The 26,298-nt window shown below is 36.3% G+C and overlaps 1 protein-coding gene across 130 annotated transcripts in view, besides 1 other annotated feature; it reads right to left on the bottom strand.

Annotated features, from left to right (window-relative positions):
* MBNL1 (muscleblind like splicing regulator 1) overlaps nucleotides 1-26,298 on the bottom strand; it is a 222,149-nt gene that overhangs the window by 144,467 nt on the left and 51,384 nt on the right. For 47 of the 130 annotated variants that reach the window (NR_170697.1, NR_164858.1, NR_164861.1 and 44 more), the window contains one exon: nucleotides 20,947-21,909. The exons of 48 other annotated variants lie outside the window; for them this stretch is intronic. Coding sequence is in view for 60 of the 82 variants with exons in the window: in NM_001387785.1 (NP_001374714.1) it covers nucleotides 20,947-21,120 (174 nt within the window). In the remaining 22 variants the exon portion in view is untranslated. Of the gene's footprint in view, nucleotides 1-20,340; nucleotides 20,434-20,946; nucleotides 21,910-22,059; nucleotides 22,301-26,298 lie in introns of those variants that run through there. 35 more of the 130 variants (NR_164862.1, NR_170703.1, NR_170702.1 and 32 more) reach the window with 4 other exon arrangements.
* Nucleotides 18,681-18,780: an enhancer, noted in NCBI's record as "active region_20707". NCBI's record gives its function as "activates an Ori minimal core promoter by ATAC-STARR-seq in GM12878 lymphoblastoid cells {active_cell/tissue: GM12878}" and the evidence as "EXISTENCE:reporter gene assay evidence [ECO:0000049][PMID:35858748]".

Genomic DNA, 26,298 nt, shown 5'->3' with positions numbered 1-26,298 from the left:
CAAGTGGTGATTGTAGCATTTGTTACCAGCTACATAATTACTCTATTCTAACTCTTAATGAGCCTGAAGTACTAAATTTTTAACTCCCCTGATGATCCTCTTCAAAGTGGATAAATGTAGGTTTCTCCTCAATCAAATATTTAATTGTCAGTACTACTGGCACCAACACACAATCTGGAACATTTTTTTACTCTCTAGAACTTTTCAGTTCTTCTAAAAATAGCTTATATCATACAGATCTTAAAATAATTGTTGGAGAGAAAAAATAAGGAGCAAGTTAATAAGTGGCAGAGTCTAGAGACATACTTCTTGGAAGCTTGGATTCTCTTTTCTACTTCAGATTAAAGATTAGAAGCAGAAGTTGCAACACTATAAAGTATTCACAGTTGGAAGACAAAACTTTTTTTCTAAAATTAGAGTATAGAGAAATTTAGGTGTAACAGAGATATAGGAATCCCTTGACAAATACCGTATGTCCTTGTTAGTGCTATTAGTTTGATAATAAAAACAATAATAATTATACTAATAGTCTGGTTCCCAGAATGTTCCTCTCGTAATAAACACCAATACTAATCAAAACTCTTTTCAATATTCTCGGTAGAGTCAAAAAAGATTAAAAAAAAAAAAAAAGAAAGAAAAAACTGATAATGTTTCTATCCTGGCAGTATCATTTCTCCCTATGCAACCTTTGAAAGCTAAATATTCTGTGTTAAGCTGAATAGTTTTCCAACAAAGCACCCTTATGAAAAGAGAGTTAATACTGTCACCAAAATAACTGTGTATTGTGTCACTGCACAGGCCAATTTATCATTCCCCTCTGAGACATGGGCTGTATATACAGCTATCATATCAGGAAGCCTGACTAGGTCCCCATGTGCTGCCTGCACAAGATAACATACAAAACATGGCATGAGTCCAGGGAAAGGCCTGTTCTAGAAATTTACATCAACAGAACATAAATAGTCCATTATAGTGCCTGAGCAATTTAACTGGATGAGTCCTATCACAAATGAAGGATGCTGGACTCCGCAGAGAAACATTTTATGAGTAATTACATGTTGCTGTCCAACAAATGTCCTATTACACAAAAAGAAATTCTCTAAAGTTGAATTTAAAAACACATAAAATCTTCTCACAATTATTGGTCATAGTCTGGAAGAAACATCGCATTCAATTCACTAAACATTTAATGAATGCCAAGGATATTCAAAACACTATATATATAGAAGTGATTAATGCAAGCTTCTCATTCTTAAGGAGTTTATAAACTAGTGGGGGTTAGAAACAATTTACAAATTAACTGTAAAATCAAGAATAATGTAGTGTATTCTATGACACATAAAAAGGAAGGAAATGCCAAAAAGTGAAGCTATTCATTTTCATGAAGGATGTTGCATTTGATGATCACTGTACAATGAGGGACCCAGGAGTAAGAGCACAAAGAAAGAATTAAACTCTTCTGTCAATTGCGACCACAGGTTGACTACAGATGCAAGAGTTGGACAAAAATCAAAAAGGCATTCTGTAAGAATCAATTGGCCATATAGAATTTAAATGTTGAGCATTGTATATTTTATTATAATTTTAATTGTCTTCCATGTCATTTTATTAGTAAATTTTATAATAAGCATAATGTATACACATGCATTTTTTTGGAGAGTCTGTTGTCCAGCCAAAAAAAAAAAAAAAAAAAAAAAAACAGTATAGAACTTTAATGCCACCGTAACCAAGGCCTCAGAACAGTCAAGAAAGTTTTGTCACTTGGACTCGACCTTAATAGCAGTTTTCATCTGTCAGGTGTGTCAATGATGCCATTTTCCTGAAATGAAGACAATATATTCTAGTTTTTGCTGTGATTTAACTAGTCACATTTAAAGGGTCCTAATGACCTCAAGATCTTTATGGATATGATTAAACCCTAACCTCACCACTCCTTGGTTCCCTATCTGTAAAACTAATGAACTGCATGACATCATTTCTAAGGACTCTTCTGATGGCAATTCTAACACACTAAATCAGCAGAGTTCAATGTGGAAAGTGACAAAGGAAAAAATCATCTCTAAATGCTAAACAAAACCATTGAACACTGCACAAGCAATCTTTTAAAATGCAAAGAAAAAACACATTTTAAACTTAGGCCCCCCAAAAAAAGGTTTTCCGTGAAGCTAAATCTAACACCTGAAGTTTTTGTTATCATATTTTAAAAGCTTTGATTATATGAAGACTTGACTACTCACTGATTTGTCTCTCCAACTTACTCTAGTAAAAATGTAAGTAGAACCACAACTGAATCTCAATTTTTTTCCAAGCTACTTCAAAAATGCTAGAGGAACTTCCAGTAGTACAAATAAAAATAAGGTTAGTAGGTTGTATTCCAAGTTTTAAATATTAACATGATATTGAATAATCATAATAATCAGGGGACTTTAAATAGGCAGGATATTACAATTTGAACTGGTTGCAGTCTGTGAATGCCTGTAGAGTGTCTTTTTTTGAATCTGGATTGATTTTACTTCTGTTCTTCAAATTGACATAATAATAGCTAGTCACAGCTTAGAAACAAGATTTGCAGCCTGTCTTTTCAAAGATCTATGTAGTAATGATAAACCCAGTGGTTTGAATCCATCAAGCTCATGCTAAGCACTATGTCTCTGGGTGAACAGTTGCTGCTGGACAATGAATCTTTTCAAACTACCTAGAAGAGAATCTGTAAACCCACAAACAAATGATTCTCCATCAATCAAGTCCTATTTTAATTCAAATGCAGTTTAGAACCACACAGTGGAATACATTTGCAGTAATTTTATAAACTTAAAACATTTTATCATTAGAACAAATAAAATGCAGTTTTATTTGTACTAATGAAATAAAAAACATAGCTCAATAAATATAATCTCCAAAATTCTACCATGAATTAAAACTTGTAATGATGCTACATAATTTCTTGTTGAGTTTCAAGACATTGCAAATATAGTAAGCAGTATCCGTTTTAAGTTTTGTCGTAAGATAAATACATTTTAATGATCAAACCACTTTCAAAATGCTTGTAACGTGAGACTGCTTTTTTCTTCCAACGGTGACCTGTTTTTCTCTAGAACAGTCACTAAGAAAAATATTTTTCAGCTAGTCATAAGAATGACTTCCTTAGCAGCCCTTTCCTTTGTACCATTAAACAGTCTGGAAAATTGCTTGCTTGACTCATTCACACTGTCAAAATATACTACAGGCTAAGGTTGACCATCAATTTTCTCTGTATCCTGTAACAACACACCCAATTTATGCATGAAGTTCTAAAGCAACAGTACTTGCAGTCTTAGGACTACTTTCATACATTAATATTTTGCAAAACTATATTCACATAGGCTAATCTATTCATTTGTTGCAGCTAAAGGATACTACTTGTTGTACATGAAAATCTGTATACATTTAAGTCCACTACAATTAAAAGGTAAATGACCAAATGAACGAAATAAAGTCCTTAGGTTACAATGTATCCTTTATCGTCTTTTTGAACATCTCGTTGAACATCTATTTGAAAACAGAACTTGATCGATGAAGAATCATTTGTTTGTGGGTTTACAGATTCTATGGGTTTATAAATAAGAATCAGTTAGAAATTCAAAGAGAAGATATTAGACTTACTTGGAGATAACTGTGGAGTTATTTCAAGATTAAAAAAATAAAACAAAAAATAGGCCAGGCACGGTGGCTCACGCCTGTAATCCCAACACTTTCAGAGGCCAAGGTGGGTGGATCGCTTGAGCTCAGGATTTCAAGGCCAGCCTGGGTAACATGCTGAAACCTCATCTATACAAAAAATACAAAAATTAGCCCGGCATGGTGGTGCATGCCTGTAATCCCAGATACTCAGGAGATTGAGGCGGGAGAATCACTTAAACCCAGGAAGTGGAAGTTGCAGTGAGCTAAGATTGCGCCACTGCACTCCAGCCTGAGTGACAGTGAGACTGTCTCTGAAAAAAAAATTTTTTTAAAGGAATAAATAATTTGAAATTCTTTATACAACTAAAATAGTCACAAAGTCATATCAGGTAGTCACAGAACTCCACATAAATTTATAAGAATCTTTTAAAAGTTAACACATTATTTTATCAACTGGCTGATTTGTCATTAATAAAGGAAGTTAATAAAGCAGAATGGAAGATCTGTAGAAAATGGAGACCTGCTAACTACAACCAAGGTACCATCAAGTAGCTTTTTTTTGTTTGCTTTTTAGGGACCAAAAATCATAGGAAACGGTATTTATAAAGAAAAATATATATTTTTTGAATCAGAAATTTAATGGGGACAGTTATGAAACAGTTACTGTACCTTCTAACTATGAATAAGAAATTACTAAGCAGGTGAGAAGGTTATTTTATCTTCTTAATCTTTTTAAAAATTCATCCATAGTTTTAATAAGCAAAGCAAAATAAATAAATAAATAAAAGAAGAAAAAGAAGGAAGAGGAGGAAGAAAAAGAGAAGGCAAAGCCAGCTCTATCTGAAAGTCTGGAGCATGTGAAAATTTCCAGATGGTTTTATCCTTAGGAGATAAATACATCTTCTCTATAGATTGAGAAGTCATGGCAAAAATACTATGTTCCCAGAACCTCTCAGCAGTATTAAAGGAATGGTTGTTAATCAGAGGCACACAGCTTTTAAAATATATATCTGCCCATGTCTGTTGATTTAGAAATTCCAACTAGGTGATGGAGCAAGCAGGACTAGGTGATGGAGCATGAAGGTCTAGGTGATAGAGCAAGCAGTGGGGTGAGAGAATAAATAAATATATTCCAAGTCTCTTCTGCTTTGTGCAGGCAGGACGCTTGGAAAAGTACCTGAGAAGCTATTTGCACACAGTGGGCATGCCATGCAAGCTGTTGACTCACATGGAATTAAGTGGATCTTGCTATTAGTATAGCTGATCACTAGGCAAAAGAAAGGTTTGGGTCTAATAGGTATTTGCAGCAAAGTGGTCCAACTGGCAAAATCTCTTACACTCTCTACTTTCAACGCTGAGTTTTCACTTTTCTACTGTTAAAGTTCAGAACTGACAAGTTTGAGGCCGCAGGTTTAACGTGCATTTTTTAAAAGGCAGTCATAATTGTTTATGCTCCCTCATTCTTCAAAATTCATATGCTAAGCCAGATAAACCAGAGGTGACAAGAGGTTACAGATCAAAAGCCCTGAAAGGTATTAATACAGGGAGAGAGTGGTACTTCTTCAATTTATCCTGAAGCAAATACATTTTGAAAAGTCAAGCAAACCCTTGGGGCCACAATGTGACGAGAAATAACTGATAAGGAGTACTTTATTAATATTACAGTTATTTTTATTATGAGAACTTCAGAAATTCTTCCTGATTTAATATTTCCATAAGACGTGTGGGTGTGTGCGCGCGCATATGTGTGTGAGAGAGAGAGGAGTGAGAGAGAGAGAGAGAGAGAGTGTGTGTGTGTGTGTGTGTGTTCACACGCTTTCACTATTATCTGTAGAAACTTGTCTGCTGGAAAACGTTTCTTTAAACTTTGGTTTGGCTCCTACTTTGGAGCTGATGGGAAATAAAAACTTTTCCATGGATTAGAGCCAACTGAGCTGCTAAAACAAAAGGTAACATTCATTAGAGAACCATGGCACCATGATCTCATTCTGAAGGTTAATTTTTTTTTTTACATTAAGTGTGAATTGTCTAAAGCTTAGAAAATTCAAACTGCAAAATAATGTCAAAGAAAATAATACTGGCTTTATCTTAAATGTTATTACATGGAAATTTTTTTATCAAATACGAAACAAAACTGTAGTAAGCAAAAAGAACTCATCAGATTCTTAATAATTTAGCTTAATTTTCTATCTCTGTAATTTCCTCCAAAATGTGGGCACCAACATACACAACACATCTTGCTTGTTATTTTTTCTTATATCCAGTAATAGGGAGTTTCAGAGAAGTGGATTTTTCTCAATAAAACATGACAATCTAAAGGTGTTAACCCCCCCTTGATTTTTAAAGGAAATATAGTGGGAATATATTAGGTTTTACAAAGCATCTGCTAACCAAATACCAACTGACTACTTAATTCCAGGAAAGCCTTACGGCACCATTTTTGGCAACTGCGAAAAAGCTGAAAACAAATTTTATGTTCCCTGCCCTCAGAGGTCCTCCTGTACTTTCTCCTAATTGTTTCACAACATGTTAAAAGCCTGAAATAGCCAACTCAATTACACAGGCTACAAGCATCCCCTTTGAACAGATATTTGATCCTTCTTCAACATCAAGTAATACAATTAACTCATTGTCACACACTAAATCAATAATACACAGCAGAACAGAATGGGCAATAATCAATAACCTTAACAAGAATGCAGTGGCATGGCTCAGTAAATCAAACTGTAAACACATAACTCATACCCAGAATTAGACTATAACAAGAACAGTTACAGACGCTGTCAAGAAAAACCCAGAACTGGCCATAGGACTAGGCTGTATTATTTCTGAAAAGCCAAAAAAATCAGGGAGATGGGGTTTTGGTGTTTGTTTCCCCCTTTACACTTGCTGGAAAAAGTACATGCTCTCCTATTTCTAATGATGTTAAAAGTCTCAAACTCATAAATGAGGCAAATGCTTTTTAAAATTTTGGAGCTAGGCCAGGCATGGTGGCTCACACCTATAATCTCAGCACTTTGGGAGGCTGAGACAGGCGGATCGCCTGAGGTTGGAAGTTCAAGACCAGCCTGACCAACAAGGAGAAACTCTGTCTCTACTAAAAATACAAAATTAGCCGGGCGTGGTAGCACATGCCTGTAATCCTAGCTACTTGGGAGGCTGAGGCAGGAGAATCGCTTCAACCCGGGAGGTGGAGGCTGCGGTGAGCCAAGATCACGCTATTGTACTCCAGCCTGGGCAACAAGAGCTAAACTCCCACCTCAAAAAAAAAAAAAAAGTCTTGGAGCAAAACGGACCATTTCAACAGGCTAGAATTGGATCCCTATCGATTCTGAGTGACAGTGAAAGGGGGAAAAAAAAAAAGCTGTGATAAACAGAGTATTATGGATTTGGATGCTTCTTTACACATTTGAGGAAGTGAGTGGTAGATATTTGACCAATTAAGTTTATATAGGTATAAAAAAATAGAAAAGAATAGTGCAATCATGAAAAAATAAACTTTAATATTTAACCTTCTAATCTGTGCAGGTACTTTGCTGAATAAACAATTTTATTTCTAGAAAAGTCTTAGGTGAGTCTTTTAGGAGAAAATTTACATAAATAATACAGCATTTGAAATATCAAGTATGAATTATTTATTGTAGACCAGCATAAAGCTAAATAGGATTAGTTTTAAATGAATTTAGATTTGCTAACAGATGGCTACAACCATTTTTCCATTCATACTTAACTGCATTTACAAAATGAATTTTCAGGTACAGACAATATAAATTCTGAATTATTCCATTAATACCTACTGGTTTAGCTAGTAGTCAAGTCATACATATGTTAAGAGGTTAAGGGGTTATTTTCTCTTGATAACAGGTAAATAAATAAGCTAGTATGTGCACACTTATATACATTCAAGGTTAAGTCCTTTTTAATTTTTTCAAACAACACAGAGACCTGTAGTGCAATGTGCATAATGACAAATAACATTCACTATGACCTAAGGCAAAGTTTCTCCCATAAGAGAAAGATAACTTAGACTGAACTCTGTCATTCAGATAAGAACAATACAAACGGCTACCGTTAGTATCTATGGAGTATTTACATGGAGTAAGACACTACATTAAATGATTTATATCTAACTGATCTCATTGAATCCTCACAAATCTTGAAAGCAAATGATACTAGACTTGTTTTACAGATAAGGAAACCAGCTTGGGACAGTAAAGTGATTGGCACAATGTCACTAGGAAGTCACTATGGTATCAAACTCAGATCCAGCTGAATCCACGGTTTAGGCTCTTAACAAAGTCTTGATTCTTTGCCATAAAAAATAAAATGTTGGCCGGGCGCGGTGGCTCACACCTGTAATCCCAGCACTTTGGGAGGCCGAGGCAGGCAGACAACAAGGTCAGGAGTTTGAGACCAGCCTGGCCAACATGGTGAAACCCTGTCTCTATTAAAGATAAAAAAAAATCAGCCAGGTGTGGTGGTGCACGCCTGTAATTCCAGCTACTCAGGAGGCTGAGGCAGGAGAATCGCTTGAACCCAGGAGGTGGAGGTTGCAGTGAGCCGAGATCGTGCCATTGCACTCCAGCCTGGGTGAAAGGGCGAGACTCCGTCTCAAAAAAAAAAAAAAGTTTTCACTTGCACATTTTTTCATGTGGCTTTTTGCAATTATTCTGAAGATCCTAGTTTGATGAAAATTCTAAACGTGACACTGGGAATGAAGTGAAAACCACTGGTAGTCACATTGTCATTATTCCTGTCGCCAGTATTTATTTGCTACAAAATAATTTTTATTACAAATTTCATCCCAAAGAAAAGAGCATACAGGCCAATCTAGACACTCAGAAAATACCAAAACACAATAAAAAGTTACACTATAGCTAATGTAAACCAATGAAGAAAGCGTCCAGAGAAATGAAATGAAAGGACAAGGAACACCAGTCACTTTTCCCTATGATCAATTTAGTCTTGAACATAAAATAAGTTTGAATTACATACCAAGTTTGAATCTATATAACAATCTTTATTCTGACCTAAGACAAAGTTCCTCCCATAAGAAGAAAGATAACTTAGACTAAACTCTGGCATTCAGATAAGAACAATCAATACTAATGGCTACCATTTATGGAGTATTTACATGAGCATGACACTGAATTAAGGGATTTACCCAACTGATCTCATTGAATCCACATAAATTCATTTTTAATTTTCTAAAAATATATTTCTAATTGGCTGTCTGACTAAATTCGTACAACCATGAAAATCGCCAAAACACAATGCGTGGCAAGAGTTTCAGGAAAGGACACTTATAACACTAGCTATTGGTATCGAAAGTTTCTGTTCAAGCTACCATTCATCCAAATGAACTGTTCCATAAAAATAATTATATTTCCCATGGAGTATTTTAAATAACATGATCAATTCTAATATTTGAGATACATCTCTTTTTTTTTTTTTTTTTTTTTGAGACGGAGTCTCGCTCTGTCGCCCAGGCTGGAGTGCAGTGGCGGGATCTCGGCTCACTGCAAGCTCCGCCTCCCGGGTTCACGCCATTCTCCCGCCTCAGCCTCCCAAGTAGCTGGGACTACAGGCGCCCGCCACTACGCCCGGCTAATTTTTTTGTATTTTTAGTAGAGACGGGGTTTCACCGTTTTTAGCCGGGATGGTCTCGATCTCCTGACCTCGTGATCCGCCCGCCTCGGCCTCCCAAAGTGCTGGGATTACAGGCGTGAGCCACCGCGCCCATCCGAGATACATCTCTTAAGAGTTCAGGATTACAATCTGATAGCTACTAAATACCCAGTATGCCCAGAAATTTCATCTTCTCAAACCCATGTTTTTTGAGAGCAAACATGCTCTTTATGCCATATCATGAACAAAATAGAATCAACGATTCTTATATTTACATGGTCAAATTTTTGTCCAATTACATATAACAAAAGTCTTAAAAAGAATAGTGTGAGCTATTTTTAAATACATCATTAAAATTAATGTATTCACATGAAAAAAATTCTACCTACTAGATCTAAATATTTCAGCATTATTGATAATTATTACAAATAAACAAAAAATTAAAATAAACTACTGAAATTTTAGTCCTAGAAAATTTCTGAAATGTAATACTCAAAATCACAAACAAGCATGACATACAATAAGATATATGAATCATTGTCAAAGAGGTGGTGAATGGTTTCATCTGGATTTTAACTTAATATAGTACAACTTGTAAAGATTTACAAAGGTTTTTAAGCATATTTCTGTCTTACTAGGCATATATTAGAAACAATATAATATAAATAAATGCCTAGTAAGATGAATAAAATCTCAGCCTCTTATAAAATAATGCCTTGAGCTGGGCGCAGTGGCTCACGCCTGTAATCCCAGCACTTTGGGAGACCAAGGCAGACGGATCACGAGGTCAGGAGTTTGATACCAGCCTGACCAACATGGTGAAACCCCACCTCTAGTAAAAATACAAAAATTAGCTGGGCATGGTGGTGCATGCCTGTAATCCCAGCTACTCAGGAGGCTGAGGCAGGAGAATCGCTTGAACCCAGGAGGCGGAGGTTGCAGTAAGCTGAGATGGCACCACCACACTCCAGCCTGAGCGACAGAGTGGGACTCTGTCTCAAAAAAAAAAAAAAAAAAAAAAAAAGTCTCATGGTTCTGTGCATTAGAAAAATAACAGTTATACTACTTTTGTGATTTAAAATATATTATATTTCAAGCAAAAAAAAAGTTATGAAATGAAACACTTCCTTATCTGATGCCTTTACCTCAATTCCAAGCTTTATCTTGAAATCCTGAAATTCTCATGGGTTCCCCCCAACCCCCCCAAACAGTCTATTATTCTGATTTGCTATACTGTTCATCCTGTCTGCGGCATGACTTAAAATTCTTCTGGACTTTAGGTTCAGACTCTGTATTGTTAGAATATTAGTTAAAATTTTAATATAAATTTCCCACACCAAATGAGAAAATCTAAACAAGCAATTATTCAGAAGTGACTTTCTAGATTAAGAAAAAATGTGAATGAGCATGTTTTAAACAGCACAGTTGCTTAAATTTAGGCAACTGAAATGATTTAACAAATACTTGCCCACGTATGTACAACAGTCTAATATGTAGTTTCTCTAATAATCAATATACTATATTTTTGTCTATACGAGGTCACTGTATAGTGCTTCATAATCTTGCTATTTAAACAAGTTAAACTTAGCATAAAGACTAAAAGCATAGGCTCTGAAGACAGACTTTCTACACTGAATCTCAGTTCAGCATCTCCTGACTGTGTAACCTCGTAAGGGTTAATTGTTCTTAGCTTCTTTAGTTTATATAATCAATAGATGAGGATCAAATCAGGGGAATAAAATTAGCTGTTTCTACATGTGCTACCTAAAAATCAATCTGACTCAGTTTTATCTCACTGAATTATAGAAACTGATGATGAGCTTAGTATAAATCTCTTACCATACAAAAATTAGTGGTGTACTCATTCTGACTAATACAAGCACGTATAGTCTTTTACAGCACACATAACCACAGCTAAAATTCATCTGCTCCTCCTACACTGACTATGCAGCGGTTTCCAAAATATTTCATAACAAACTTCTCAGATACACAGGAAGGCATTTAATGCTTACTTGTGTGTTACCTGAGCAAATTTGTGTTCTACTGGAACATTTTAAAATTAAAGACTAGAAGGGTTTTAAAGTATTTTATTATCCTATGATTATTTTAATCTTCGTTGTGCTTTTCAGAAGCTCGAAAGCTTATAATCACCACTAGTCTATCAACACCCAAAAAGGCAAAGACTAGTTATAAATGCTTCCTAGGATTGGGAGATGTTACTACTTATTTCCAGTCTATGAACGATTAGATGAGCAAAGATATCTGAAAGCAAATTATCGTCTGAATGCAGTAATATGGAAAAGAAGGAATTACAGATGTAATTTATCCATCACAAGCAGATCCTAAACACTGATTATGTCTGTATTTTTGCAGAAAATTGAAAATGATAGAAAAGCTTCCTAGCTTTTCTGACTTTAATTTTCCATGTTTTACTTTGTGTAATTTACTGTCAGCTATTAACAGCAGATGCTTCTTGCCTTATTTGAGAACAGCCTGGACTTAAGTATAAGTGATTCTGAGATCCAGAAGCCTACGCACTAGGTCTGATTTTTATGCAGAGAGATAAATTCTAACTTAAGATACTGTACTCATATGAGGTCTGGAGAAAACAGGGTCTTGGATCTCAACCTCATATTAACATAAACTAAAATATAAATATAGCTTAATAAATCTAGACAGCTTCAGAACAATTTTGCTGGGCCTAAAATTGTGATCTAGGGTTAAAATACAGGTCGTTACCAACTGACCCATGATGATTCAGGGACAGCTGCCACAGTCTGGTGGCCTGTGGCTATGTGAAGTCTTTTACTGGGGATTCCCTCTAGTTCTTTTATTCCCACTTGTGATGTCATAATTAATAGTGTGAGAGAGAGGGAAGGGGAAAAAGGAAAGATAAACCACCAGAGCCATTTCTTTCTCTCTTCCTCAAGTATCTCTTTCACTGACCCTGCAATTGCTGTCGAGAAACTTCCCCCTCCTAACCATTGCCGCCACCACCTAATATACTAGTCTCCCTGTTAGTAACCGGCTCCTTGAGGACTGTATTGTTAACATCTGCCTCCCTAAAGTTTGACATAGGAAGTACATAAGTTATATTACTTAAATTGTTGAATCCTTATCACCTCCTAATGGTTTTCTTCCTCACATCTGAGTTTTTACAACCGGTCTCTTGACCATATCCTATGATAAAATGCCAAAAAAAAAAACAAAACAAAACAAAAATTGAGTTTGATACTTTTATGATCTACCTGTTTCCCCATGGCTACTAGTATTTAGAAAACAACAGCAACAACCACACAGCTGAAAATTTCAGAGAGGGGGAAGAATGGGGAGAAGCTGTTCATTAAGCTCTGCAGTAGACAGGGCCCAGGATCAATGAGCACTACATTCAAAAAACAGGCAGGCTGAGTCCTTAGAAACATGGGGGTCACTTGGAAGACATATTGACGACACCTTCCCACCCTAAAGGTTACACAGGTGGGAAGCTTTGGACTCCAGCTCCTCACTGCATACCCTGTCTTTAGATCCTGCTGATTCTAAGCAAATGCCCTATTAAAGACTAGCTTCAGGAAACAGAAGCAGCCCAAAGTTAAAGCTGGGGAAAACTACACTGGCTCACAGCATGAGTTCCAGGACTTTGGGAAAGGCCACCTCCCCTGCACTAGGCAAGCTGAATTTCTGGAACCCTAAACTGAAATTTAAAATACATCTTTGCCACAGAAATAGTTTGACAAAAGCAGCTGGGGTCTGTGACTCTAGGAGTTCTCAAGATTTATGATAAGATAACACTTCTATGGAGCCTCTTGGGTTTAATTAATAACCAGGGTTTCCAAGGTACTGTTTGTACTGAACTATAACTCAAGCATCCTCTGGGCTACTTTGGCTTCTCAGGGTTGACCCGATGACTTAATCACCTTGCTTCTGTGGAAAAACATTTTCTAAACAATTAAACCTTTTGAATATGGCTTTTTATGCACTGGGGAGGCAGCTATATAGTTTATACAGTGACTAGTTATCTAAGATGATTCATTTAAAATTTTTCCTATATGGCCATATATTTTACAACAGATACAACATCTTTGAAAGTTGGTGGCAGCATTCTTTCTGCTATTTTGGGTTCACTCCTTGACTCATTTGTTGACTTAAAATACAGTGATTACTTCTGAGTACTTACTGTTTTAGGCCCTGTACTATAAATTTGTCTTGGATATTCATTTTTATTCTTAAGTACTGCTGTTAGTTATATTTTCTTTGTCGAATCCTTAGAATATGCATATGGAAATTAAGAAGCAATGTTTTCCAGCAAACATAACAAAACAATTAAGAGTACAGGCTGTGAAATCAGATTACGAGGCTCCAAGTCCACATTTTACTGGCTGACTGACCTTGCATGTATTACCTAACTTCTCTGTATTTCAGTGTGTCCATCTGTGAAATGGAAGTAACACCAGTAACTATCTCGATGAGATTTTATAGGGACAAAATACTATGAAAAAAATGAAAAGCACTGAAAACACTGATTGACATACATTAAGTTTCAATAAATATTAACTCACCTTGTTATTTTACTCCATACGGAAAAAATAAGAAAGTGTATTTGTGGAAGCAGCAGAAATACAAATCAAAGTGCAGATTCTTTTGTCATATAAAATCACTTGGGACCTGTTTTTAATGACATGGCATTTCTGCTATATTCCAGTTATAAAAATGTGACTGTTTATATAAATATGAATAGTAGGCTGGGCGCGGTGACTCACGCCTGTAATCCCAGCACTTTGGAAGGCCAAGGCGGGCTGATCACCTGAGGTCAAGAGTTCAAGCCAGCCTGGCCAACACGGTGAAACCCTGTCTCTACTAAAAATGCAAAAATTAGCTGGGCATGGTGATACACGCCTGTAGGACCAGCTACTCGGGAGGTTGAGGCAGGAGAATTGCTTGAACGTGGGAGGCGAAGGTTACAATGAGCCGAGATCACACCACTGCACTCAAGCCTGGACAACAGAGTAAGACTCTGTCTCAAATAAATAAATAAATAAGTACAGTTATAAGAAGATAAAAAATGAAGCTGTTTTAGTTTTCTCTATAAGGAAAAATAAATCCATTTGTGATATGCCAGGTTTTATTTACTAAATAAGCAAGACAGAAGTGATGACAAGTTTGTCAAGATGAGAAGACTTCAGTTTCTCTTCAAAAGTGGTATCTCTTCAACCACCTCCCTTACCCAGATGCTTTCCAGAGAGATTTACTTAATTCTGAAAGTTTTATGAGAGGAAAAATAAACACTCTTTTATTCCAGAAATGGCCCTCCTGAACATCCATTTCCATTCTCCCCTTCTGTCTTACCTACCAGACTCCTGATTTCAATCAAGGCAACAGTTTTTTAAAATAATAATAAATAAAAACAAAACAAAACAAACAAACATACAAAAAAATACTTCCTAGCAATCCCTGCTACCAAAATCAGTCAATAAGAGACTGAAAAATTACTGGCTGAAGCTCAGAGAACCTTTGCTTAAAAGGAGCCTGGCTGGGCTGAGTTATGGTGTCTTGCCTTTTCTGCGTCCTGCTAGACTAAGGATATGATGGCTGGCACTGCAGTGGCCACATTGCAATTTTGAAATAATCCTAAAGTTGGAAGCCATGTGCTCCTTAGGAACTAAGAGAGAAGGAACCTGAGTTCCAATGACTATAGAGTCGCCAAATAGACCTAGACGACTGAAATATAAACCCCTAATTTGTTTATACCAAATGCTGGGGAGGGTAGGGGAGGTGTCTCTGTTATGCAAAGCTGAATCTAATTCTTCACAGACAAAATGTCTAAATCACTTCTGTGTGACTATGGAAAGACATATTTAAGATCGGAACCAATAGTTCTAAAGATGGACAATTAGAAAGCTGGAAAGAACTCAGAGATAACAAAAGAAGAAATGTAATGGTCAGAGATGGCCAAGGCCCTCAGGAATCCAGAGGACAAACAGCCTGTCAACCAAATTAGAAGATATCAGGGGTTATACTGTTTAGTAATTATCAGTAATTTTCAAAACACAAGCTCATAGCATAGAAAGTTTTATCGCTAGCAAAAAAATCAAACTTTATCTCAAAGTGAAAATATTTCAAACATGTGCCAAAAATGTAGGGATGATGCTGTAGGTAGATGTGCATTTGATGATATTTGTATAAGAAACAGTATTAAATAAAAACTCTGTAGTTGCTGTTAGTATAAGTGAGCAATTAGCATAAGTCCTCACTAGAATCAAGCTTGTTTACAGTAAAATTCACAAAGAAATTACTATCCTAATAATCTATTATACTTCAAACAACTCAGAATTTCTATCAAGCCTTTCCAGTTGCTTTTACTTAAGTTGCTACATGCTAATAACTATCATCAGTGCTAAATCAAAGGCCATCTATCTATCTATCTAGTTACCCACTTCTACTGGCAGTCATGATTTTTGGCCTAGCTGTTAACATGGAAAATTGCTCACCTATCTAAAAGCACAGGATGTAGTACTGCTAAGTTTAAAAAAAAAAAAAAAATTCAAATTTCCTCAATAGGACCTCTTTGTAAGAAAATAAGAAGCTTTGTCTAAGTCTGTGGGAAGGCAGAGACATTGCTCAGCATGAAAGGTAACGGATTAGCAATGTTGATAGCTGAAATCCTCTACTTATCCTTGGCAAGGAAAATGACAAGATAAGCTTCCCAAACTAGGTCCCTAGGTGTCTGTGCTAGGTCTGAGAAACATTCCATTTCTCACCTTTCACCTGAACTGGGCATGTGTCATACAGTTCTTCAAAAGACAATTCACCCCACACTGCATTGTCTCTTTTAAGTGAGAAACAGCCTTATATATGCAATTGTTTCAAGGGTACTCCGTGGAATTTTGATTAGCTTCAGACATCTGAATTACAATGAAACTGAATTCAGCTGTAAGTGCCACATTGCTTGAGGTCTAAATTGTTTTTAGTTTGTCACACTCACACAGTGAAGCAAGATTTCATGAGAAAAAAAGTAGACGCAGTGTACCAAAATCTTATAATATGAAGCAAAATAAATAGTTCTAGAATTACTGCAGCAGGTAGCTTGATTCGAAACATGGTTTACAATTTATCTAATAGTCTAAAAAAACCTTTACTCATAAAAAAAAGTTTTCTAAAAAAGTTCTAATATAAACAGGCAAATGAATACAATTACTAGTTTCACCAAAGCAACTGCAGCTATTGAGAATTTCATTAAAGAAAGGTTTATGTCAGAGTTGATGACACTGCAGCATATTCACAGGATATTCTTTACAAAGTTGTGAAGTTTCTCCTTAGGGACCTTTTATATGAAACATACTGCTGCGCAGGTTATGCCTTATAGTTAGTTCATCTCCTAAGTTATTAGGAGAAAACAAGGAAGTGATATGTCAATCTGTCACTGAAAGACACATTGAATATATGTGCCAGCACAGTATATATAATAATCTGTCAAAGTTTTAATACATGGGAGATACCAGTGGTTAAAAATCAAACCACAAAAAAACTTCCTGGTAACAGTGATTCCAGTTAGGACCCTAATAGATCAAAATTTTAATTGAAAATTGCATATTTAGTCTAAAACTTGCAGATATTTTATCAGGATTATCAGTGAAACTGGTTTTTAAAATATGATGAAAAGTCTATGCTTGGGGCTTAGAACAGCAGCAACACAGGCAATTTCTGGATTGAGGATAAACCATGCTAGCAACAGAGGATCTTCTAAAATTTAACTATAACCACCTTTGGGACTACTTTATCATGTCTAGTTATGCCATCCAATCCATATGTGACCATCTGGATACTTGTTTGCCTTACTGATTTTGAGTGCTTTAGTTGTTCATTTACCTGTATGTACATATATTTGTGTGCCTTCTAATACCTAATTTCCATACTTCATATATTCTGCTAAGCCTGCAGAGGCTCTTTAAAACTGTTCTCAGCACCCTTGATTGTATGCCACTTTGCAGTGGAATCTGATCTCAAATGTGTCTATGATAAATCTGATCGGGGTGCTATTTATAGATAGATATCACTGTATATAGCAAAAAGAAATTTTAATTATCTTAAATAAAATGGCTCAATTTGATAAAGGAACAAGTGACTAAAGTTTTCAAAGGTAAAAGAATTTTGCTAGATTTTTGGAAAATAGATAGTAAATATAAAGGTTATATTCTCTTTCTCCCATCCCTAGTACCTGAAAAATGAATGGGTATTTGAAATAGAATTCAGTAAACAATAAGTCTATTTCTGTTGATCATATCGTAAAAGCTTTTTTTTTGAGGGTATAAATAACTTGGCAAATATTAAAATACATTCTGTAGGCTTTCTTTACATTGACTCCCCAAATTTTAGTTGAGAGCTCATGACTGAATAGGCAATTTGTCATTGATTTGAAACATCATTTTTGAAATATAATTTTCTAATGGTGGCTTGCAGTGTTAATATTTTTCTTTTCTTTTTTCCTATCTCTTTCACAAGCCATAGGGGAACATAATCCTCTTTGGCATAAAATAATGCACCTTTGCAAATGTTCTGGATTTCTGAAATAGCTAATACACCTAAATCTATAGCACGTAAGCAATTTAAGTCTCAGCTTGAATACGCTCTTAGACTATTATAAATTAAAACTGCAATTGTAAAAGGAAAATTAGAGAAACTAAGTATTTAGAGTATTGTTTATATACTAGCACACATTATTACAGCTTTTGCTCTTTTACTGTTCTCGTTCTAATTCTGACATTCTTAATACCTACATTCCTCGTTGTCATGTATTCCCATTTTACTTAGCAACAGATTTATTACGATACAGACTTCTACATTTACATACGGTATATTTAAATCTAATTATTTAAACCTTAAAATCATCAGTATGCAACTAAAATAGTGAGCTAATTTTCTTCCTATTATCTTTAGTAACATACCAATTGACTTCTTTTACATAAATGAATACTTTCTTGAACTGTTTGACTTATTTTTTTTTTTTTTAATGAAATAAATTCTCCTCTTCTAACTAGAAGTCTGCTATTAACGTAAGTCACCTGGGAGCCTGGCCAAAGTCTGAAGCAGCACAGCTGAAGGGTACAGCCATTTCATAGGGTCCTCTCAGAGAGTATTTGGTTTGCTTTCCTAACTTTCTAAAAATAGTAGATTACACAGGCCACCTCCATCTCATGGCTCAAGAACTCAGAAAAGGCTGGACTATGGATTTAAGCAATACACAGGACACATTTTATTAAAGAAGTCAGGATTATTACAAGTTTTCTAAATTTTTTTCCGTTTACTCTGTGAGAGAATGCAAATGATCTAGCGGTTAATGGCATGGAAACCTCATAACGCTCCCAAATTTCAGAACTTCAAGCATGAGTCATACAGTTACTTTAACAGTTTTAAAATATGTTTTTGATCTATTTTAGCCACAAGACTGAATACAAGAGGACTGCTATCTGAAGGGAAGGATTCTAAATACTGTACAAAGAATCACATGTGTCAGTTATAAATATATACACACACACGTAAGAAACATGTTTTTTAACATAAATGCTTAATTACATATTCAAAATTGTTTTAATGCTTAACATAATTATTTTACTAACATTTAAGAAGCTACTGTCCTGGGTATGAAGCTCCATCATAAATAAATTCATGTTTTTTTTTTCCTCTTATTCAAATTTAAAATATTTTACCAAGTTTTAGACACTGTAATTTAAATTTAAATTAAATTCAGTTTCTCTTAGAAAGACAAAGAAAAAGGACAAAGTTTGCATTGATTAGCTGCTGTAATGAGTTCATTTCATAAATACATTTAAAATCTTGAAATTATTTAAAGTCCTTGATGTGGCAGTTGAATCTTGTTAACCACATAGCATGTCATTAAGCAACCTTGCTGCTTTACTCAAAAAGGGACTGTTCTGTGGCCATAAGTGAGCAGCAACTAAAAAAAAATATTTTGAGATGGAAAAATAGCAACTGAATAGTAATGTTTCACAATGTTTCCAAATGTTGTAGAAGCAGGTCTTCTGTGTAACCACTCAATGTCACAGCCAAATTTAATGTCCTTCATTTTGCAGCTACGAGTGCACCATCAACTGTCTGTAGGATTAAAAATTGGATTTACTATTAATTGGGTCAAAACAGGGTTACTTATGGCCACAGCTGGTTACCGACAAGAGTAATTAGCTCCTTGCCCCTCATTTTATGGGTCTCAGTCTCTAATTACACCTGAATTCAGCCAGCATGAATTTAGGAATACACATTCACGGAGGTACAACCACTGTGCCCTTCACTGATGCCTCTCAAAGGAAAGGGTGAAGAAAGTCTCAATGGGAGTTTATAACTTTTGCTTATTGATCTTTAGGACTATGACATTAAGAAGAATCTAACATTTTAAAATATTTTTGTTGTTAATACCTCCTTTCTGTTCAACTCTAAAGATCATATTCTCGAAATCTTTGGCAAAAACTTTAGCAAAATGAACAGCCTAAAATGGACCAGGAAACAATGAACTGAAACAATTAACTCATAACTCACCCTGATGTTATTAAAGAAAAGATTATTATAGCACCATATATTTTTAAAGACAAGATGGATCTATGAGACTTTTACTTCTCTACATATGTAGAAGTGATAGTGTCCTCCCCTCAAAGGTCCAAAGAATTAAATTAGGACATTCATATTCAAAAGCAATTTGATTAAACCAAGTAGGCTGAAAGTACCCAGGAACACATTTCTAGTCTTGACCTTGTGTGTCAAAATAAAGATATTTATGTTATCTTTTAAAAGACTCATTTTCAAATATGATACCTGAATTACAAATCCAATGACATTTTTGAATGTCAAGAAACACTAAAGTAAATATTTTAGTATTATGGTGCCCACAAAAGCTAACTTTTAACATTTCTAGCTAAGACTATTACAAATAAAAAAAAATCATGATCTAACAGAAAATAAACTGCTAATTCACATTAGAATTTTTGAAGCTGGAAAAATCCAATAAACAATAGTACTTATGAGTTTCTACTTATTTATATAACTCACATGCAACAAAGTTTGTGCCTCAGGTAAGGTGCTGTAGCAGCAGTTCAGCACCTTACTTCTAGTTACATTTTCCATAAAATGCGTGGCTCTGGCCTGAAAATAAAATGCCCACAAAATAAAAAGAAAATCTAAAATGTCAAAATATTAAAAGAGTAAAAAGTCTATCCAAGTTTAGCTGATTTTAAATCTGCTTCTCTTTTGCAACTGTACAATGCCTTTACCAACAAATAAAAATCATCCTCATTCAGCTATTGCCATGGCCTTATATATAATATATGCATATGCTAAACACTCACAGGTAGCTACATTTACCATTTCCAGGGACAGACAGACACTTTGCCATTACTAAGTGAAAAATATGTCAACACTTTCTGCCCTAGCAAAAAAAAACATGCAGTGAAAGGACTGATAAAGTTATTCATAACAAAGTTTGGCCAGACTTGATTCTACTGCTTCTCGTAAAGTTCCCCAGCCCAACATCATCAACACACTGTATAACTAAACTATGAACAAAGCAATCCATAATCCCATATGCAGAGAACTGTATGTCCATATACCCCTCATTCAATCATTGAATATCCTTAAAAGAATATAATAGTTACTCACTTTCAATGAATCAAAGCAGGCGATTACTCGTCCATTTTCAACTTGGCAGCTTTTCGAAGGATGTGCAAATTTACATTCCGTGTCTGGCCGTGAGCAAGTCCCCCTCTGGAACTCTCTACATACTTCCAGTGTTAGCCATTTTGTGTCCCGAATTGGTGTGACACTAACAGCCATGTTTAGATTTTACAGGTAGTTAAATGTTTCAGTGAAACCAACAAACCCAACCCCCCCAAAAAAGAGCAACAACCAAAAAAAAAAAGCTGAACTGATGATGAAAATGTCCCCTCAAAATACTTTTCCCCACTCCCTGCTTTAAAAGTACATGGAAAATTGTGTCGTCAATATCAAGGAAAAGATCTCCCACTAGAAATTCACAGCATGAAACTGTTAATTCAAAGAGGTTTTGGTTTTTAGAGAAATACTAGGATTGTAAGTAGATGAACGTTTAAAAGTAGGGCCTGGTATCAGCCTTGTGCTCTCAGTAACCCCTTCCCAGTGCCAATTTGGAGCCCAAAATGCAAGCATGAAAACGTGGCAGACCCTTCGACACCGAATTTCCAAGCTGCTTTCAGCAAAGTTGTCTGAAAGGGAATCTCCTCACAGCTGAATTTGCAATGGAGTTTGGTGGTGCAATCGGTATTGATTAGTTTGGCATAGACAGATGCAGCAGTTTAGAGCAAAATCGAGAAAATGATTTTTTTTTTCCTCCTTGATTTCCTGGCAGAAGATATCTTACTTTTTCAGCAAACTTTTCTTTTAACACTAAAGCAGCCTAGGGCAATGCCAGATACTTAGAGCTTTTCTCTTGATTATAAGTAGAAATGGGGGTGTCTGGGCTAGAGGTGGAGGGTGGATGTGCTGTCGTCACAGTCTAGCTGGCAGCAAGCAAGGCAAAAGCAGAGACTGCTCTAGAAGCGGTTCCAAGCAGCAGAGACGTCAGGAAAGGCACTTCTTAGTACCAACCTGTAGAAAAAAGAGATAGGTTAAGATTTACTAAGTAGCACTTCACTGATGTCCTACAGTATCACAACCTTGCCATGTGATACCAGACTAAGTAATATTCAAGTCAGCCTCTCTCTCTCTCTCCCACACATACATACACAAAATACTTACAGTGAGGCATATTGCAGCCAGCCATCGTAGATTTATTAAAAAAAGGGGCCGTTTCCCCTTGTGAAGCAATGCATGATAGAGAGATAACCAATCACAGATAGTGTTGCAGCAATATTCTGGGCAGAAAGCCAATAGTGTGGGTTGTCTTATGAAAGGTCGCGCCTGTCAGACGTTCATTACTATGCTATAAGCACAGAAAATGTCCATCAGATGTGACTTATTCCACTGCAAGAGGACGAGCATGTGGGTTTTGAATTTACCCAACATGCAGTTAGTGGACTAAACCATGTTAGTTTCAAAACAGCTTCTCAGACAAGTCTAAGCACTTGAAGATCATTACCAGGGAATAAAAAGCAAGGTTTAAAAATTGCAGCTGACTTCCAAGCTGCTTTCCCTCCGGCTCTGCGCAGGGACGGGCACTGAACAGCCTGCTCCTGCTGTCCTGACACGTGAATAAAAAAGGAAAGGGGTGTTTACAAATGGTACATTCTCCTGACCTATCCAATTCACTTCCTTCTAAAGCCCAAGTCCTGCCCCTCCACTGAAAACAGCACTCATACTGTAAAACTATTCCATTGAGCCCGCAGACACTTTGTCAATATATCACAGGCAGGCAAGATATGAACAAAAGCATCCTTTATTCGTACATTTTTAAAGCAGAAGCTGAGGTCATGTGGGGAAAATAAGGAGTACAGTGTTGTCAGTGTGTCTGGTAAATCTGAAGTCAACCTCAAGGGAGAAAGTGATTCCATCGCAGAAACATTAAATATTAAGTGAGCAATTTGATTTGAGCAGCGTGATGCACTTCAGAAGTACAATTCCAAACAAAGCTGGAGGGTGGGGGATGAGGGATCCCCTGTTGCCTGATGATCAGTTAACTCAGCACCACAAGACTACTTCTTAGAGCAGGGCATTTTTACTTTTAACAACTTACTTTTTCTATCAGGATTTTTCTTCTTTATTTTTTGTTTGAATGTTGCCAATGAGGAAAACAAGGCTTTAAAAAGTAAAATTTTCACATTTTAAAGAGGCAATGACACAGTATGATAACTAGTATTTGATGATACTTCTTCATGAGCCAAAATTGCTCTATTGGCATATGGTATATTTATAATTTTTGGAAACTAGAGTATAGGATATAAATACATACGTACATTAAAAAACACGAACATCTAGAACTTAAATTGTTTAAGATTAATATTGCCATTTTAACACTAAATTTCGTTTAAAAAACTACTTTCCAAAACTATTTGGAAAATACTACAGTACGACTACAACTTTTGATAGAGATTTAAAAAATCAATCAAGCTTGGTGGATCACGCCTGTAATCCCCGCACTTTGGGAGGCTGAGGTGGGTGGATCACAAGGTCAGGAGTTCAAGACCAGCCTGGCCAACATGGTAAAACCCCATATCTATTAAAAATACAAAAATTAGCTGGGCGTGGTGGTGGCACCTATAATCCCAGCTACTCAGGAGGCTGAGGCAGAAGAATCACTTGAACCCGGGAGGCGGAAGCTGCAGTGAGCTGAGATTGCACCACTGCACTCCAGCTTGGGTGACAGAGCAAGACTCTGTCTAAAAAAAATTTAAAAAACCCATGGCTGGGCACAGTGGCTCATACCTGTAATCCCAGCACTTTGGGAGGCCGAGGCAGGCAGATCACGAGGTCAGGTGTTCGAGACCAACCTGGTCAACATGGCAAAACCCTGTCTCTAAAAATACTGAAATACAAAAAATTAGCCGGGCATGGTGGCAGGCACCTGTAATCCCAGCTCCTTGGGAGGCTGGGTGATTCTCCTGGAATCACTTAGAACCTGGGAGGTGAATGTTGCAGTGAGCCGAGATTGCGCCACTGCACTCCAGGCCGGAAGACAGTGTGAGACTCCATCAAAAAAAAAAAAAAAAAAACCTCATCCCCAGTGTTCAAGAAATATTTTGGTTTTCAAAAAAGTTCCTAGGTCTTAATGCCAGTTTCTATAAAAAAAAAAAAAAAAAAAACAAAGGTCCAGTCATAAACTGTAAGCTGTGTCTATCTTCCTGAAACTTTGTTCTGCATTAAGAATTACTCAATGATTTCATGCCTTGAGAATGGACCACCTGCATGGTCAACAATGTCTTTACTCCTTCTCTTCAGAATCTTCAAGTGCCTCACATGTAACTATTTTCTTCCTCTAAAGCCAGCTAAGATGTTACTTCCTCCAAAAAGCTACCAAGATGTCATTATCCCCATCTCTATCCATCCATATCGTAATACTGCCTTCTCTGAATTATCTCTGCACCTATGCCCTATACAGTGTTTTATTTCCTTATATATCTGACCCACTAGACCATATGTTTTTAAGGACAGAAAAAATATATTATTCATCTCAGTAACCCCATGGCTTAGCCATAATGATGCAAAATAGATGGAGTTCCAAAAATATTGGTAAACTAAATTATCAACTGCTGCATCAGGATTTGGATTACTTCTAGGGTACAAAATATACAAACACACACACATGAACACATATATGAATACAACACATGAACACACTGAAACATACATTTGAAAACACACACACACACACACACACACACACAATCATTGCCTCTATAAATTATTATGTTCCAGGGTCACATAGGCCCTTTCACTGCCTCACAATCTAGCCCTGTCCTTGGACAGCTCCCTATCTCATTGCACACGGCAGCCTTTCTAAAACTTCATTACTCTTTCTCCATGTTCATTAGCAATAGTGGATAATAATATTATGCGTCACGAATATTTCATAGCCATAACAGTAGCCCTTAAGCATGAACTTTTTCTTACCTTCCTACTCACAAGTCTTTAACCTATCTTTCTGTATCTTTCTTGGTCTCCCAGTTCTCCCTCCTCCTGCCCACAGTTAAGCTTCCACAAGCCTCCACCTTGACTCAGTCATTCTCAAGATCTAGTTCTTTTTCTGCCTCCTCTATACATGCACGCCCTGTCTTTCAGCAGTTCCTTCTCTTAGCTTCCAAATGTGCTGAAGAAACTCCAACATGCAGACGGTGACATGGCAGGAGGAAGAGGACCCTGCCCTGGCTAGCATCCTCCTCTCCCTAATGCACTTAATCCATCCTTCCCAAGCAAATATCTAAAGAGTCATCTACCGTGCTGTTTTTCTGCTTCTTCCTTTCCCATTCACTTCTGAATCCTTATCAGTCTGACTTTCACACCCATTACTTTACTGCTCAGCAAAGTTCATCAATGCTGTCAGGAAAGCCAAGTCCAAAGACTATGTTTTGTTCTTGCCTTTACTTGACCTGTAACATGATTTACAACTCCCTCTTTCTTGAACCTTTCCCTTTTAACAAACTGATACATTTTATCTTGTTGCTTCTCTCAGTGCTGTACCTCTTGTATCTCCCCTGGAGAGGAGTTGCTGAGGGTTCTTGGCAGGTGCCAAGACATGTGTGAGCTCCTGGGACTTGTTACATGCTAACTCCCTGTTTGGTTTGACACACACTTCCTCACCCCTGCAACTTGGCAAATTCCTTCTCCTTGTTTAAATTGCTGTTCAAAAATCACCTTCTCTATAGGACTGGGTCAACTATGCTAAACATTACTCCATCTCAGAATGTTTCTGGTACTTTGTAGCTCTTCGTACCTCTCCCCCTCAATGTTATATATGCCCTGACAACAGGGTGTAGGTCCAGTGTCTTCCATCACACAGTTCTTGGAACATAACAGATCTTTTTTTAAAATGTTTGATAAATGAGTAAACTTCATTCACACTTACAGAAATAAACATGTATGGGAGGATGTGGTCCCAACACTGATGAAATAGATTATTTAATATCATGATCTATGGCATCCAGACAATATATGTAAGAAGACTGGTACCCCAAGAAATATCTGCATTGCTTGGTAGTCATATCTAAATACAACTAAAAATTAATTTCTAGAGTTGATTATTTTTCCTTTTTGCCAGGTTACAGACAATCCCTCAAGTACAAAATATACTTTGATTACTAAAATGCTTGCAAATCAGTGTTCTGATTATATTTATTTTCTGTAGCAGAGAAATTCTATTTACTTCAAAAGTGCTACTGAAAGCATTATCAACATAGATTTGTACCATTTAATTGTAAAGGACATAGACAAGGATGATAATCAAAGTATTAATAATTAGTTCAGGCATAGACACTGAACAATTAAAATAGATACTGGCCATTATGCATTAGTCTAGCTAGACCTGATAATGTATGTGCCTGCCCT

The sequence above is a fragment of the Homo sapiens genome, chromosome 3, assembly GCF_000001405.40.
Source record: "Homo sapiens chromosome 3, GRCh38.p14 Primary Assembly".
Taxonomy (NCBI): domain Eukaryota; kingdom Metazoa; phylum Chordata; class Mammalia; order Primates; family Hominidae; genus Homo; species Homo sapiens.
This window is presented reverse-complemented; position numbering and strand designations above follow the sequence as displayed.